The following is a 16,478-nucleotide window of genomic DNA, read 5'->3' as shown; positions in this document are numbered from 1 at the left end:
CCATTGTCTCCTGTTTCAAAAAGGAAGCAGAAAGTTAAAAAGAAGCAGAAGTGAGGTCAACAGCCAGACAGCTTGGCACCAAAAACCAGGCCTGGTAGTTAAACATCAACTCCTAACCTAACTGCTTGTGTTATCTGTAGATGCCAGACATCGTATGAGGAAGCGCTGTGAAACTTTCTGTTCTGTTCTGCTAGCCCCCATTACTGATGCACGTAGCCCTCAATCCCATAGCCCCCGCTTGCACAATGTATCACGACCCTTTCACGTGGACCCCTTAGAGTTGTAAGCCCTTAAAAGGGACAGGAATCTTCACTTTGGGGAGCTCAGACCTTGAGATGCGAGTCTACTGATGCTCCCAGCTGATTAAAGCCTCTTCCTTCCTTAAACTGGTGTCCGAGAGGTTTTGTCTGTGACCAGTCCTGCTACAAAAGAAGCTGTGTGCATTTTTTTTGCAGTGCATAAACAGACTGGCCTATGATCTGTGCCTTTCCTTAAGTAATATCTATCATTACACCAAAAATGAAAATAAAGCCTGTGGGGATTATCACGCCTTCCAAATACCTGGGCTGCCTCTGGAGGAAACTATTGCTAAATGCCCAAAGTGAAGAAAATAAAAAATGTCTGGAGGGTAGCTCCCCCCAAAATACTAAGAACTCCTAAATAACATAAATTATGGATAAATGAAACATCTATAATCACAGGAAATAGCATAAAATGCTATTGCAAACCCATGATTTTGGTGTATGGATAGTGTGTTCATGTCACTTATTAAAACCATGAAACCTCCGGGCCTGGGGAAAGGGAAGCCGTGCATCCCACTTGACCAGCTCATACCTCCTTCCTTCTGCACTCAGAATCAACTGCCCTTTACCTGCTTTCATGCCTTGATCACTACTGTTTGGTTCTGAGATGGTGCTTTTTTCTGGGTGGAAATTCTGCCTGAAGGGAGCAGGGAATTTGGTGTTCTAAATCCAGAACCAGCAAAACTCAATGAGAGGGGCCTCATCCCAATGAACCCAGCACAAACAAACGTGCAACAGTCAGGCCTATTTTAAAAAGACTTCTCATCTCTGAACAAATGATACCACATTTTATGAAACTCAATTACCTGCACAGTCCTTTGGAGACCCTGAGGCTCCTGAGCCTTCTCCAACTATCCTAGGCCATCAGATTACCCTACTCACACTCTTTAGGAAATCTGAAGTTTTAGATTGCTTCCATCACCTGACTGAGGTCCCAAGAAGGTGGCTATATGACAAAAAGGATCCAGCCTCTGCAACTGCCTATTCTCCTGGCAGGCCTCACCTGGTGAGGCCACAAAGCATACGAGTTAAAAGAACACAGTTCCTAGGGACGGTGGCTTTGGTCGGAGTTCTCATGCCGACACATAATAGCTACATGGCCTGAACTGGTTTTCTAAAACGGGAAAGGCTCAGAGCTCAAGCAAGATATGAGCAGACCCCATGAAAGGTCAACAAATGCTGGATATGGCTAGACATGTAAGGACACAACTCAGAGCCATTTCCTTTTCTCAGGTTGTAAAACACATTTTGAGGCTGGAGTTGGGGAGGTGTGTAGCTATTTTGAGATTGGCAATAAAACTCCATAAACACCATTTACCCATGAAATTCCCTGACATGTTATAAGGAAACTCACCTGAGTAGGAGGAATCAGGATAACCCCCCATTCAAAACTCAGGGATGTAAAAATATATCACCTGCTGCCCAGACACAGAGGACTGCTATTGCTATTTAGCACAATGTCTGCACATCCTGTACTTGTATCTTTCTCTCTCTCTCTCTCTTCCCTGTGTAAGGAAAGGCACACAAAAACAGTTGAAAAAGGAAAGTCAAAATGGCATTTCTCCATTCTCACTAAGCCTGACCTGTCTCTCCTCCTTTCATTCCTTCACACAATTATGTAGAGAAAAATTTTAAAACATTTTTAAAAAATGAGCAAAGTGGCAGCTACTCACCAATTTGTGTCCTAGGCAATCCGTTGAACCTTGATTGTGTGGTGACGAGTGTGCTGCTGCTATCAGCCTATAAGCTGACATCAAAATGTCTACAAAAACCTGGCCAGGCCCCCTCTCCTGCCCTCCCTCTTCCACCTTACCCAGAATGAGTGTCCCCTCACCTGAGCTGAGTTGTCTAAGTCCATATTCAATTGATAAGGAGAAATGACACTCCAAGCAGCGTCCTGTTTTCCAGGCAACTTTTTCCAAAAGCTCCTTTTCCAGAATTACTTACCTGAACTTCTAACCACAGAGTGAGTAATGCAAACACACAGAGCCAGAACAGAGGAAAGGCAGGGGACTCTGAGCTTGCTGGGGTAGAGAGGTCAGAAACCCAGTTTCTTACTCAGCCTTTGTTAGGAAGAGTCCTGATCTTGTTCTCCTCTGCAAATAACTTTCCTCCCAGCCCCAGGGATGATCAGCCTGGGAGTGGTCACAGCCTTTTGTGCAATAACTTGGACTTCACCCTCCCCTTTGCCCTTTCTCCTCCGCTGCTCGGTGAGCACGCCCTTCACGTGTTGAGGTGAAGGCATTGGTGTTCAGGCCTAAGAGATGATACAAACCCTCAGATTCACTCACCACAGCCTCTGTGCCACTCACCTCTCTGCTTCTTTCCCAGAGACACCCACCTCTTCTCCAGATCCAGATAATCTTCTGTGAAGCTGTGCAGATACCTGAAGACAGAAGACAAGTGTTACAGAATGTTACATCTTCCTTTAGACACCCACAGAGAAAACAGCCAAACTGAGTCACCTTCAGTGGTTTAGGGGAAAGATGCATCTACACTGGATAGTTTTCTCGGGGAATTCACACCAACCTCTCTCTTTTGTTGTTGTTGTTGTTTGTTTGTTTGTTTTTTGAAACAGGATCTTGCTCTGTCGCCCAGGCTGGAGTGCAGTGGCACGATCTCGGCTCACTGCAACCTCCACCTCCTGGATTCAAGCGATTCTCCTGCCTCAGCCTCCAGAGTAGCTGGGATTATAGGCGCATGCCACCATGCCCAGCTAATTTTTGCATTTTTTTTAGTAGAGATGAGGTTTCTCCATGTTGGCCAGGCTGGTCTCAAACTCCTAACCTCAGGTGATCCACCCACCTCAGCCTCCCAAAGTGCTGGGATTACAGGCGTGAGCCACCGCGCCCGGCCCCAACCTCTTAACTCCCAGAAGAGATTGAAGCATATTCCCTCAGGTGGCACAGCTACCATTGAGGGTGTCCTGAAGTGAAGGGAACCCCTTTCTTCTTGATGCAGATTTTCTTTCAGAGGTCTATTCATTAAGAGGAACTTTTCATTACAATGTACCTGCCTCCTTTTCTGTGTTAAAGAAAAATATAACCAGGTAATATGTAAGAAAATGGGAGATGATGTACTAAGGAGATGATTACCAAGTCCTAAAGAGGGATTGATACAGAAGCCACTTTAATGCAGCTGACATTCCGCCCAGAGAGCTCTTCTGAAATGGGTGGCACAATCTCAGCAGCATTTCCCACCACCATGTCAACCCCTTGAGAGGGGCATGAAGGGACTCCCACTTCCCTCCAGAGCAGGCTATTCCCTCCTTTCCTCTTCCTCTCCCTCTCATTTCTCAGGTTGTCTGCTGTCTGCCCACTTGTTCTCCATTTGTGCTGCCCAATCCTCAACTTCAGGCTTCTCCACATTCCTTGGTGCTTGCATCACACAAGCTAGAGATCAGGTGGAACTGTGGAAGTAGGGAATGGGAAGGTGAAAGATTTCAAAGGCAAGGCTGGATGGTGTCGCTCATTCAACCAATACTGAATGCCCTGTTCTCTCTAGAAAAGGGACCGTGCTAGGTGCTGCATGTTCATTCTCATAGGGCATTATGGGAAAGTATTACTTGTTAATATGAAGTGAGCCACTGGCTGGGGATGGGTGGATCCTGATAGGCCTTAATTTCCTTATTTTTTATTGAATTAAACATATTTATAGCAGTGTGCATAAATGTTAATTGTACTCAGAGTATTTCCAACACCAAAGAAGGTAACTTCATGCCTCTCCAAGCTAATATATTCCAAAATTAACCATTATTCTGAACTCTATCAGGATAGACTAGTTTACCTGCTTTTGACATTCATGTAAATGGAGCCACACACTAGATACTTTTTTGAGTCTGGTATCTTTCTCGCTACATTGTCTGTGATATGTTACACGTTGTTATAAGTTGTTGTATGTAACAGTAATCTGCTCTTGTTCATTGCTCTGCAGTATTTCATTATACGAATATAGCAGAAATTATTCATTCAAAACTTGGTGTACCTTTAGTTCATTCCAGTTTTTAGCCATTATGAGTAAATGTGAAATTGACATTCTTGTGCATGTGTTTTGTTGAATGCAAACACTCATTTCTCGCTTTGGGAGGCCAAGGTGGGAGAATCACTTGAGGCTAAGAGTTTGAGACCAGCCTGGGAAACATAGAGAGACTCTATCTCTATGAAAACATTAAAAAATCGGCTGGATGTGGTACTGTACATATGTAAACAAACACTCACTTCTGTTGGTTATATAACCAGGAGTGTAATTATTGGTCTCATAGTGTATCTTAGTCAGCTTAGGCTGCCACAACAAAATACCGTAGACTAGTTGGCTTAAATGACAAAATTTTATTACCTCACAGTTATGGAGTCTAGAAGTCTATGATCAAGGTTCCAGCATTGTCTCTTTCTGATGAGAGCACTCTTCCTGGCTTATAGATTGCTGCCCCCTTCCATGTTCTTACAAAGCATGGAGAGACAAGCAGCAAGCTTTCTAGTGCCTGTTCTTATTAGACCACTAATCCCATCACCGGGGCCCACCCTTGTGACCTCATATATACCTAATTATCTCCCAAGGTCCCACATCCAATAAAATCACATTGAAGATTAAGGCTTCAACAGATGAATTTTGATCATATAGGATTTGGTCTGTAGCATTCTGCCTGACCCCTCAAAATGTATGTCCTTCTTGCATGCGAAATACATCCAATCCATCCCAACAACACAAAGAGTCTTAACTTTTTCTATCATCAACTCCAAAGTCTGAAATCCAAAGGCTCATGTAAATAATATTTAAGTTAGATGTGGGTGAGGCTTGAGGTATGATTCATCCTGAGACAAATTTCCTCTCCAGCTGTGAACCTGTCAAGCCAGACAACATGTGTGCTTCCAGCATACAATCATGGGACACGTATGCGATAGACATTTCCATCCTGAAAATGAGAACTGGTAGGGAAGGAAGGGGCAGTGGGTTCCAAGCAAGTCCTAAACTAACCAAGGCAAATTCCGTTAGAACTTGAGGTCTTAGAATAATCCTTTTTAGTTTGTTGCTCTGTCTTCCACATTATGGTAAATGAAAGATGCAAAAGATCACATATTGTATCATTTCATGCATAGAAAATGTCCAGAATTGACAAATATGTAGAGACCAAAACTACATGAGTGTATTTCTAGGACTGGAGGATTGTGTTGGGGTGATTGAGAATAGACTGATAAATTTTTTTTTTTTTTTTTGAGACGGAGTTTTGCTCTTGTTGCCCAGGCTGGAGTGCAATGGCGCAATCTCGGCTCTCCGCAACCTCCGCCTCGCGGGTTCAAGGGTTCTCCGGCCTCAGCCTCCCGAGTAGCTGGGATTACAGGCATGCACCCGGCTAATTTTGTATTTTTAGTAGAGACAGGGTTTCTCCGTGTTGGTCAGACTGGTCTCGAACTCCCGACCTCAGGTGATCTGCCTGCCTCAGCCTCCCAAAGTCCTGGGATTACAGTTATGAGCCACCGCGCCCAGCCCTATTTGGGGTGTTTTTATGAGTTGAGTAAAATTTTGTATATTTATATTCTATGGATGTTTGCATAAGTCCACGAATATACTAAACATTTTTGAATTGCACTTTAAATTGCTTATTTTATATTCTATAAATTACTTCTCAGGAATGTGTCTTACAAAAAAAAGTTGGTCTTTATATTGTTACAGGTAGTTAGTTAGGCATGAGTGTTGGGGGAGAGCCCTCGCCTGCCCCAAGATCATAGTTCACCCTTTTTGTCTCTTAATATGCATGCTCAGGAAGTTGCTTCTCCCTGGAGCCTGCATTCAGTTAACATTTTGATGTTAACAGGTGTGGACCACCAGGGAATGGCCTCTCCCTGGTGCTGCCCAATTGTTATTTTTAGAGAGACAATGCAATAATTGCCTGAAATCACCAGACACTTCTATTGGGTGGGGGGAGAGCCTTCTCCTGCTCCGTTAATGCATAACTACCTGTAACAATATGGTTTAAACATATTGTAGCTTACAGCTATTGACAATTTAAAGGTAAAATCACGGTCTTATTCTTCTCCCAGAACTAAGATTTAGGTCTTATAAATGTCAAAGTTTGTGTTTCTAAAAGATGTGTGCTCTATGAACAATTGATAGAAAAACCACTTTTGTGAGGCCGACTGTAAAAATTATATCAGTGTATATCTAATGAAAGTGCTTCGTGAATATAGTCATTGAGTCTGAGTGTGAGCATTCACAGAAAGAGTTCACCTTAGATACCAGATGTAAGTAAAACCTAAACATATAGTGGTAAATGTACTTTGATTTTTTTTTTCCGCCCAGGGTGGAGTTCAGTGGTGCAATCTCAGCTCACTGCAGCCTCTGCCTCCCAGGTTCCAATGATTCTGCTGCCTCACCCTCCTGGGTTGCTGGGATTACAGGCGCATGCCACCATGCCTAATTTTTGTATTTTTAATAGAGACGGGTTTCACCATGTTGTCCAGGCTGGTCTTGAACTCCTGACTTCAGGGGATCCACCCGCCTCGGCCTCCCAAAGTGCTGGGATCATAGGCATGAGCCACCACACCTGGCTAAATGTAGTTTAATTTTTTTATGTTTAGCATTGAGTCAGAACTATTTTACAAAACCTAGATTAAATCTATTTCTATATCTATCTACTTATATATTAGTTTGAATAAATATATTTAGACAAGTTCTGATCAAAAGTTGTTATTCTGATTATTAATAAAGATGAAATGTTAAAATTTCCCACAGGTAGCTACTCTATCTTCACCTCATTGCATGTAAAGTGCTAATTTACTGAGCATGAGATGAATATGACTATTCCCCTACCTGCGCATTTTCTCTTGCAACATGTGGATTACCATACCCTTCCTCTTTCCCCTCCAGCATGCTTTTCCTCTTTAAATATTGAAGCCCTCAATTCATCTTTGGAGAAAGGCCCAGACAACAGACTGTTTCTGTGATTGTGTATTTTTCTCCTGGTTATTTTCCTTAACCTTGGCAAAACAAACATCCAAAGTGATTGAGACCAGTCTCAGATACATTTTGGTTTACACTACAAAGTAACAAAAATGATACGAAAGTATAATGAACATAAATACCAATAATTATGGACCACTATGAAGAGAATCAACAATACATTGTAAACTGATTGCCTATCATGGGCAAGTGAATAAATCCTTGTCTCAAGAGTCTCTGTGTTCTATTATTTGAAGGGTTGGAAGAATTGAAGCCATGCAAGGTGTACGGTTTAAATCAAATCAAAGAAAGATAATTAGTTGGATTGGGAAGTTAAAGACAATATAGAATTTTACTTCTCCCATTATTTGCTAAACTTTAGTGGCAATCAACAAAACAAAGAAAGAAAACTAGCCCCAAACCAATCTTGTCAGGATAACTTGAGATACAGATTTCTCATAGTTTGGAATAATATTAAGCAAGCAAACAGGCAAAAAACACATAAAATCCTAGACTGTAAACCTATCTTATAAGTGAAGACAGTCCGGGAAAAAAAAAAAAAAAAAAAAAGCTGTGAGGATGAGGAAAAAGGGGTACTAGTGACAGAGCTAAAATTTATTAAGATCTATAGCCTGAAAAAATAAGTTTATACTGACAGACAAAATACTAAAAAAGTGTTTTGTTTGTTTGGGTAGAATATCAACTATATGGAAGAGAGTAAAAGAGGTATGTAATATGAATTTTCAGTCTTGGAAAGACTTACATTTTGAGAGAGCAAACAGCAAAAAGGAAGAAAGAGGTGCCTTTTGACAAGTGCATTGGAAAAGGAAAAATACTTAAAAAGGAGAAATTTAGGATCATGCTAGCCAAATACAAGCAAAAGAATAAATGAAAGAAGCACAACAAATCTCCAAAAATTCGGAACAGAACTTGGATTTTGCTGTGCTGATAGAACATGGTCCTATAAAGACACACACTCTCTCACTCACTCACACACACACACACACATACACACTATATATAGTTGAAAAAATCAATATAAACTTATTTTTAAACTCAAAAAGCTGATATTTGATTCAATTTAAACTAAGAGGCAACCTCTTTCAACAAAACAACCATAAAGCAGTAAAACCTGCAAGATAACATCTTCAAGTGAACTAAATATACTCAAACACTTGGATATATGAAAAATAAAAACTTCCTTGATTCTGAAATTCAGTATCTAAGAATAGATATATACAAAAACTGTGACCAATGAAAAGAGATTTGCTTGAACTCAATAAAAATGATGAAAAAGACAAAATTATTGATAGAGACAAGAGGCAGCCAAAGGTCCCCCAGCAAAACTCCTCCTTTAAGCCTAAAACAGCCTGAAGGCTGAAAAACCAGACTGCCAGTACCAGAGAATCTCAAACTGGCCTGTTCACTGGGAGGATGGGGTGGAGCCTTGGGAAGTTCCTGCCACTTGCAGTGGGGAGGAGCCTGGCTTCTCCTGTTCTTGGGTGGTAACCAGGAATTCAGTATGTGAGGCAGGAATCCTACTGGCAGGACTGTCGTTTTTGCTGACAGTCCCTGTTTCCTTTTTTTTTTTTTTTTTTTCCTTTTCATCCAATAAACCCTGCCCTGCTCCCCATTCAAACTGTCTGCATACCTAATCTTTTTTTTGTCATGTGACAAGAACCTGTATTTTCCTACAACATTATTACAGAATTAAACACTAAATCACAAGGTGCAGAGTGATGAGGGAGGATCATTTGACGCCAGGAGTTTGAGATCTGCATAGGCAACATTGGGAGGTCCCATCTCTACAAAAATAAATAAATAGGCTGGGCATGGTGGCTCATGCCTGTAATCCCAGCACTTTGGGAGGCTGAGGCAGGCAAATCACAAGGTCAGTATTTCGAGACCAGCCTGACTAACATGGTGAAACCCTGTCTCTACTAAATACAAAAAATTAGCTGGATGTAGTGGCGGGCGCCTGTGGTCCCAGCTACTTAGGAGGCTGAGGCAGGAAAGTCACTTAAGCCCGGGAGGCGGAGGTTGCAGTGAGCCAAGATTGTGTCACTGCACTCCAGCCTGGCCAACAGAGTGAGACTCCATATCAAAAATAAATAAATAAATAAAATTAGCCAAGTGAGGTGGCACATGTCTGTAATCATAGATACTTGGGGGCTAAGGTCAGAGTGTTGTGGGAAACGAGGAAATGGGGAAGCCAAAGGGTGGAACAGGAGGATTGTATTTAGGTGGCCACCAGGCCAGTGGCTTAATATCCAGAGGCTGAGCCCTGAACAAAGACAGGGCTTGACTTTTATACATGCATCTGAAGGGTAGCTGGCTAGTTTGAAACAAGCTTGCAGTGGCGTGAAAGCAGGTTTTACAGAAGCAGAACAAAGGCAGTTTATCAAACAGTGACGGGCTCATAACTCAGGCTTTCATGTGACTCCAGCTATGTGGGCCACGTTGCTGTTATCTAGCTTTACTCAAGATGCCTGCACAGTTTTATCTCATGTCCTTCGCTATGGTGCCCAGATGGCTGCAATCTAAGCTTGCTCAAGCACGTCTCATGATCTCAGTGGTGCTACAGAGACTTACAGACACTAGTTACCCAAAAGAGGAATCTATAAACTCAAAAAAACTTTCAGAGCAGGGCACAATCGTACGGAGCGGGGGAGGGATTCAAGAGGGAAGCTGTTCATACCAAAGGAAAGAAAGAAAATTTGTTTTTCCCCTCACGTCTCCTGCTTCAAGAGGATCACTTGAGCCCTGGAGTTCCAGGCTGCAGTGAGCCATGATTCTGCCACTGTACTCCACCCTGGGCGACAAAGCAAGAGTCCCTTCTCAATAATAATAATAAACAAAAAGAAAAATCACAACGTGTTCAATGAAATTTAAGATCAAATGACAATGTCATAACAAAAATAAGACAATGAAAAATGAAAATGAGATTAAAAGAAAAAATGGTCTGAGAGAAAATGGTGGAAATAGAAATAAACAAGGAAGGAAGAATATTCATAGGATTGGAGTCCTTGAATAAAAAGAATAAAACAATCAAGAGGAGTAAATTAATTTCCAAAATAGAATTTTCAAAATTTCCAAAATAAAATCTCAAAATATATAATGAGAGTGACTGCCTATTATTTGGGTAAATTAACTTTAAAAAATATAGAATCTAAGACCTCACATAGTAAAACAAATAGAAAAGAAGAAAAAATATCTTCAAATCCTCCAGGTGAAAGAAAAATTAAAATGTCAAGGAGTCTTTCCTAGTGTAAACCAAAAATAAAATTTTAAGGCCCCCAACCATCTGAATGAACTTCCTCCTTAGCCATGGCTCTTTTAAAAATTTAACCTGAAAGACTAGTTCATGCCATGATGGAAAGTGGGGGTCAGACATGCCTCATTATACCTTTCTGGCATTAACATCAACACAGACTTTAAGTCTGATAACAAACATTTTTCAACCTATTCTCTCTGAAGCCTGCTACCTGGAGGCTTCATCTACTGAACTTCGTGATAGAACTTTGATCTCCTTAATCTCTTATCATAACCCAGATATTCCTTTCTATTGTCAACCAGAACATTTTTAAATCTACCTATAAACTGGATCCCCACCCTCAAGTTGTGATGCCTTTCTATCTCCCTAACATGTATAAAACCAAGCTGCACCCCGACCACCTTGGGCACATGTTCTCAAGATCTCTTGAGGGCTGTGTCATGGGTCATGGTCACTCATGTTTGGCTCAGAATAAATCTCTTCAAATATCTTACAGAGTTTGACACTTTTCATCAACCCTAGCATTAGGCTTTACGATAAATAAATAAAGCAAAGAATAAAGAAATAGAATTACATTTTAAAGTCTAAGAAATAAAATGAGTGTGAGATTATATATTCAGCCAAACTGTCACTCAAATATCAAGGCCTGAGTAATAGAGCTTTCAACATACAAGAACTTTTGATTTCTGTACTCATGAAACCTTTTAGAGGCTTTTATTAGAGCATGAGCTTCATCCACACAAGAGAAGACCAAGGAAATTTCACCAAAATACCTAATAGTGAGTGTTTTAATATTTACAATTATAAACCTAAGACTAACGCAAACATGTGAGCAGAGGTGGAATAATAAAGTACAATTGTTACAGGTTAGGATAATTAAAAAATAATGAAATTTTTTAAATGAGAAGAAAGGAAAAAAACGAGATGAACTCATCATTTTATAGCTATAAATAGGTATTAAACATCATGATTAGTGATTCACAATCCAGATAATAAAGTTTAAATAAGAAAACAGTACATTAGAAAGTTATAAGAAAAAAAGATATCCACTACAACAAAATACAACCTCTTAGATAAATGAATAAATCATTGACTACCAAAAAAGTAAATAATATACACCTCATAAAAATATTAAAATATACCTAATTATAAATACTTGACAAATATAAGACCAAATATATTAGTCATATTATCAAATATAAATAGGGTTAACACATCTCTAAAAATAAAAATATTTTTTCATGTTTACCCACGAATCAAGGCTGAATTATACACTTTACACAAAAGAAACATCTAAAAAAACCCAAATATAAACAACACACAACCTACCATTATGAAGAAAGAAAGGAGAACTAGCAAATATAAGCAAATAAAAAATGGCAAAGGAGAAAAAAAATAAGAGAAATTTTTAAAGTGGTAAGAGGCTGTTTCACAGACAAATACATTCACTTACTTAGATATGAAAACAATATATCACATTGAATGACAGAATTGACTAACATCATTTGTTTTGTCTTTCAAATCACTGTGCTATCACTGTTTAGCATCTACTCTTTTAATATAGGTTACATGTATTATACATTACCATAGGAATTTCACACTGGATGTGTGCTGAAAGCAAACTTAAAGAATTCCAAACCATTAAGAACTGAACTTCGTGAAGAAATAGGGATAGCTGAATAGGCTGTGTCTCAGGACAGCTGCTCATTCAATGAGCATTTTCCATTAGCATTACTAAAGAGAGAGTGATCACATTGCTTTTGGTGTCAGGGAAGCCAAACAAGTGAATAAAAGTCTTGGGCCAAGGCACGATAATAATACAGACATTCCTGTGTCTGAGATATAGTACCTGCGTTTGTGTGTGTGGGAAGGCTAAGTAGGCATCACAGAGCAAGTATGTGCAATAGCAGCAGTGTTAGAACTCAGAAGCAGGCTGAATTAACTGGAGTTAATCAGCTGGTTGATTTGATCAACTGGAGTCAAATCAGCAGCTGGTTATGTGAATTTGGGCCACAGAGTGGTGACACCCAAGATCCTCACATTTATTAAACAATTGTATTTATGTCTCTAAAATCTGGTCACTCAGATTTAAAGTCTGTCCTCAGTAAACATGAAGACAAGCCCAGTGGCTAAGGCATATGTTCAAAGACAAGTTATAAATGGGAGGTAACAACTAAGAAAGTAGCAGCTCAACAGGATGGAAACTTTTTTTTTTTTTAATACCCATGCTACCACCCCTAAACACCATGGGCAACTTCTGCATCCCAGAGGTGTCAGTGGGAGACTGACTATGACTGAAGTCCTCCTGAAACCCCTGTAGACATGCTAGCAGCAGGCAGGCAGTCCAGAGATGTGCCTTCCTACTTCACTGCTGGTGTCAATGGAGACCTAATAGAAAATGTGATCTCCAACTCCGATCCAGCAGCAGAAGGTAGCTCAGAAAGTCACTTTTCTTGCTATGGTTTAAATGTCTCCTCCAAAACTAACTTTAAAATTTAATTACTGTTACTATTCGACCCTTAAGAACTGATTAGGTCATGAGGGCTCTTACCTCATGAATGAAGAAATTTCATAATTATGGAAGTGGGTTACTTATCACAGGAGTAGGCTCCTGATGAAAGGAGGAGTTCAACCTAGTTTTCTTTTTCCCATTCACTCTCTCACCATGTAATGCCTTCCACCATATTATGTGATCTCTGGTATGATAAGATATCAGGAGGAGGACCTCAGCCCCATGATCTTGGACTTCTCAGCCTCCAGAACCACGAACCAAATAAATCTCTTCTGTTACTAAATTACCCAGTCTATGATATTCCATTATAGGAACAGAATATGAACTAAAATATTCCTTTGTTTCAGACACCATGTAATCAGGGACCAAATATAAGATGGCCTGGGGAGGGTTTCTATTCCCTCCATGATGTCAGTGGAGACAAAATGGGGAATTTGGACCTTGACTTTCAGTCAGTGTAAGAAGTCAGCCCACAGAAACACTTTGCTCCATTGCCAGCGATTATAGCAAAAACAGAGCAAGGTGTCTAAATTTAGCCACTTCTCACCCCAAAATGAATGGGAGGCAGTACCCACCACCTGCCCAAATACAAGGAGAAGAAAATCCCAGAAAGGAAGAGCTGAACAAATAAAGGAATTGTTTCAATTATAAGGAAAACACTAAGAAGACCCCTGACCAATTCACACGTAAAAGCTACTAGAAGAAAATATGCCAAAAAGTTTTATAACTGAACCAAAGTTTGGAATACCACCCAGGTTTTCAGAGTGGCCTCTATGCAGCATAAAATGAAATCATACCAGAATAGCACTGAAGGGGCTCTCAAAACTAAATGCCATTTGAACCACAGCCCACAAAACTAGGCCAGGCCCCATTTGCCAAACCTAAACTGGGTGACTGGCTGCTAAATAGATGATGTAAAAAGGATCTAGAGTCTCCTAACATCATACCCCAAATGTCCAGATACAAAAACAGAGAAACAAAAACTCATCATACTACAAACAAGTAAAATCAAAACTTGAATGAAAAAAAGTGATTAACAGATGCTAACACTGACATGAATCAGATACTACAATTATCTGACAAGAATTTTAAATCAGCCATAATAAAAATACCCAATAAATCAATTATGAATTATCTTGAAGTAAACATAGAAAATTTTACCAAATAAATAGAAATTATAAAAAAGAACCAAAATCAAATTAGAATTATGAAACATGTGAAAACCAAAATAATTTTAAAAACCTTACTACTTGGGCTCAAAAATGGATTGGAAATGACAGAGGAAATAAAAAGTGAACCTAAAGATAGCCTGTGAGAATAATAGACTGCAAGAACTAGACTTTACAAATCTAAACATCATATAGGAAATAGACTGAAAAAATTACAGAGCCTCAGATACTTGTAAAACAGTAACAAAAGAGCTAGCATCTGTGTCATTGCTGTCACAGAAGGAGAAAATAAAGAGTGGTTAAATGTCTAAGAAAAGTTCTTCGAACAGAAAAGAAATATTACAGAAGGGATCACGGAGTATCAGGAAGGAAGAAAGAAAGAACAATGAAAACATCAATAGTATCTATATATATGAAACAAGAGAGTTCCCAGACCATCCTCACAGGACATGTGACAGGGGTGTGGCTTGTCTGTTTGGCCACCATGGCTGCTTAAACCCCCTACCAGAGGGCAAGCATGCAGACAAGCAGGTGCAGGAGCCGGAGCGAGCGCTTTTGGGCTCCGGCCCCACAGTGGCATCTAGGGGTGTGTGCCTGTGGTTCCCAAAGCCTCACTGGGCATGCTACAGTGCTGTCTTAGCTCTGCCATCTACAGACAGCTTAAGTGTTAACCAGCTGAGTGCCCTCTTGGTACCCAGGTTCTTGTCTGGCATCCAGGAAGAATCAGGTAACACACGGACTTGAAAGATGGTGAATGTGGGGATTTTATTGGGTGATGGAGATGGCTCTCCACAGGACGGATGGGGAGCTGGAAAGGAGATGGAGTGGGAAGATGATCTTCCCCTGGAGTTTGGCCATTACACAGCCAATCTCCTCTCCGACCGTCCCCAGCCGAACTCCTCTTGACATTCAGACACTCCTCTTCTCCCCTTCTCTGCCATGCTGCTCTTCTGCTCCTCTGCTCTCCTGTTCATCTGCTCATCTGCTCTTGGAGCTGGGGTTCATATGGGTACAGGGGACGGGGGTGCAGCAGGCCAAAAGTCAACGTGAATGCCTGTTCCCATTTAGGGCTGTGGGTTTCCAGGCTTGAGGGTGGGGCCTTTGCCAGGGAACCACCTTCTCCTATCCAGTATTTCCCTGTCTCCTGTCTGTATCATATACAATATACTTTCCTTCTTTTGAGTTTTATGTTAAAAAGTTGAAGCAAAAGCTTTTAACACTCTCTAATGCAGTTTTTCAATCTATGTAGAGAAACACATTTAAAAAAATTTATATGTTGAATACATGAAGACAAAGGGATTGAAGTGGAGATAAATTGTCTACATTTGTCTTAGGCTGCTGAAAAGCTTACACTAGCAGATCGTAAATTATATATGTATAATGCAATATCTGAAGAAGCCACTAAAATACTATTAAAAAATCTTAAACACACAGATGAGACAAAATGGAACTCTAAAAAATATTCAAGGCACTTAGAGGAAGAAGTGAAATGTGAAACAGAGGAATGCAACACAAAGGGATCAAACACAAAGCAAACAAAAATGGCAGACCTAGGTCCTAATATACAAATAATTACATTATAAATAGCTTAAACATACCAGTTAAAAAGCAGAGATTGGCAGAATTATTTTTAAATGATCTAACTATATTTAAAAGAAATAAACTTTAAATATAATATTATAGTTGTTTAAAATAAAAATATAGAAAAAAATACACCAAGCCAGCTTAAAATAACTAGCATCTTCCTAAGTTCACCAATGATGGATTTTTTTGAGTATCATTTTTAGTTCACAGAATTAAACATATTGAGGTATATATGTATCATAGTTATTACTTTATTGGCACTTAAATTGTATCATATTTGAGCAATGGGAGATTCCTCAAGTTTGCTCCTGAATCCTTTTAAAATGATGCCAATATTTATTGATAATTTTCTGGCTATGAAGTACAGTGAGATCAAGTGTCATCTTGGGAACTTCTCTGTAAACTTCTTGAGGAATAAAGAATAAATTCAGAAAGGCAAAATTACTGTAGAGATACTAGTTTATGGATTGTCGGTGATCATTAAATTTTACCTATAAAACTAAGGTACAGAATATATTAGTCCATTCTCACACTGCTATAAAGAACTAAGACTGGGTAATTTATAAAGAAAAAAGGTTTAATTGGCTCATGGTTCTGCAGGCTTTACAAGAAGCATGGCTAGACAGGCCTCAGGAAAATTACAATCATGGTGGAAGGCAAAGGGAAAGCAGGCATGTCCTACATGGCTGGAACAGGAGGAA

At 39.9% G+C, this 16,478-nt stretch overlaps 1 long non-coding RNA gene across 5 annotated transcripts in view; it reads right to left on the bottom strand.

Annotated features, from left to right (window-relative positions):
* Positions 1-2,442, bottom strand: part of LOC105373347 (periphilin-1) — a 90,847-nt gene extending 88,405 nt beyond the window's left edge. For 4 of the 5 annotated variants that reach the window (XR_938514.3, XR_005647083.2, XR_005647087.2 and 1 more), the window contains exon 1: positions 2,250-2,381. This is a non-coding gene — a long non-coding RNA (periphilin-1). Of the gene's footprint in view, positions 1-2,249 lie in introns of all 5 variants that reach the window. The other variant, XR_005647084.2, reaches the window with a different exon arrangement.
* Positions 2,443-16,478: the final 14,036 nt, after the last annotated feature.

This window comes from Homo sapiens, chromosome X, assembly GCF_000001405.40.
Source record: "Homo sapiens chromosome X, GRCh38.p14 Primary Assembly".
In the NCBI taxonomy this organism is placed as follows: domain Eukaryota; kingdom Metazoa; phylum Chordata; class Mammalia; order Primates; family Hominidae; genus Homo; species Homo sapiens.
This window is presented reverse-complemented; position numbering and strand designations above follow the sequence as displayed.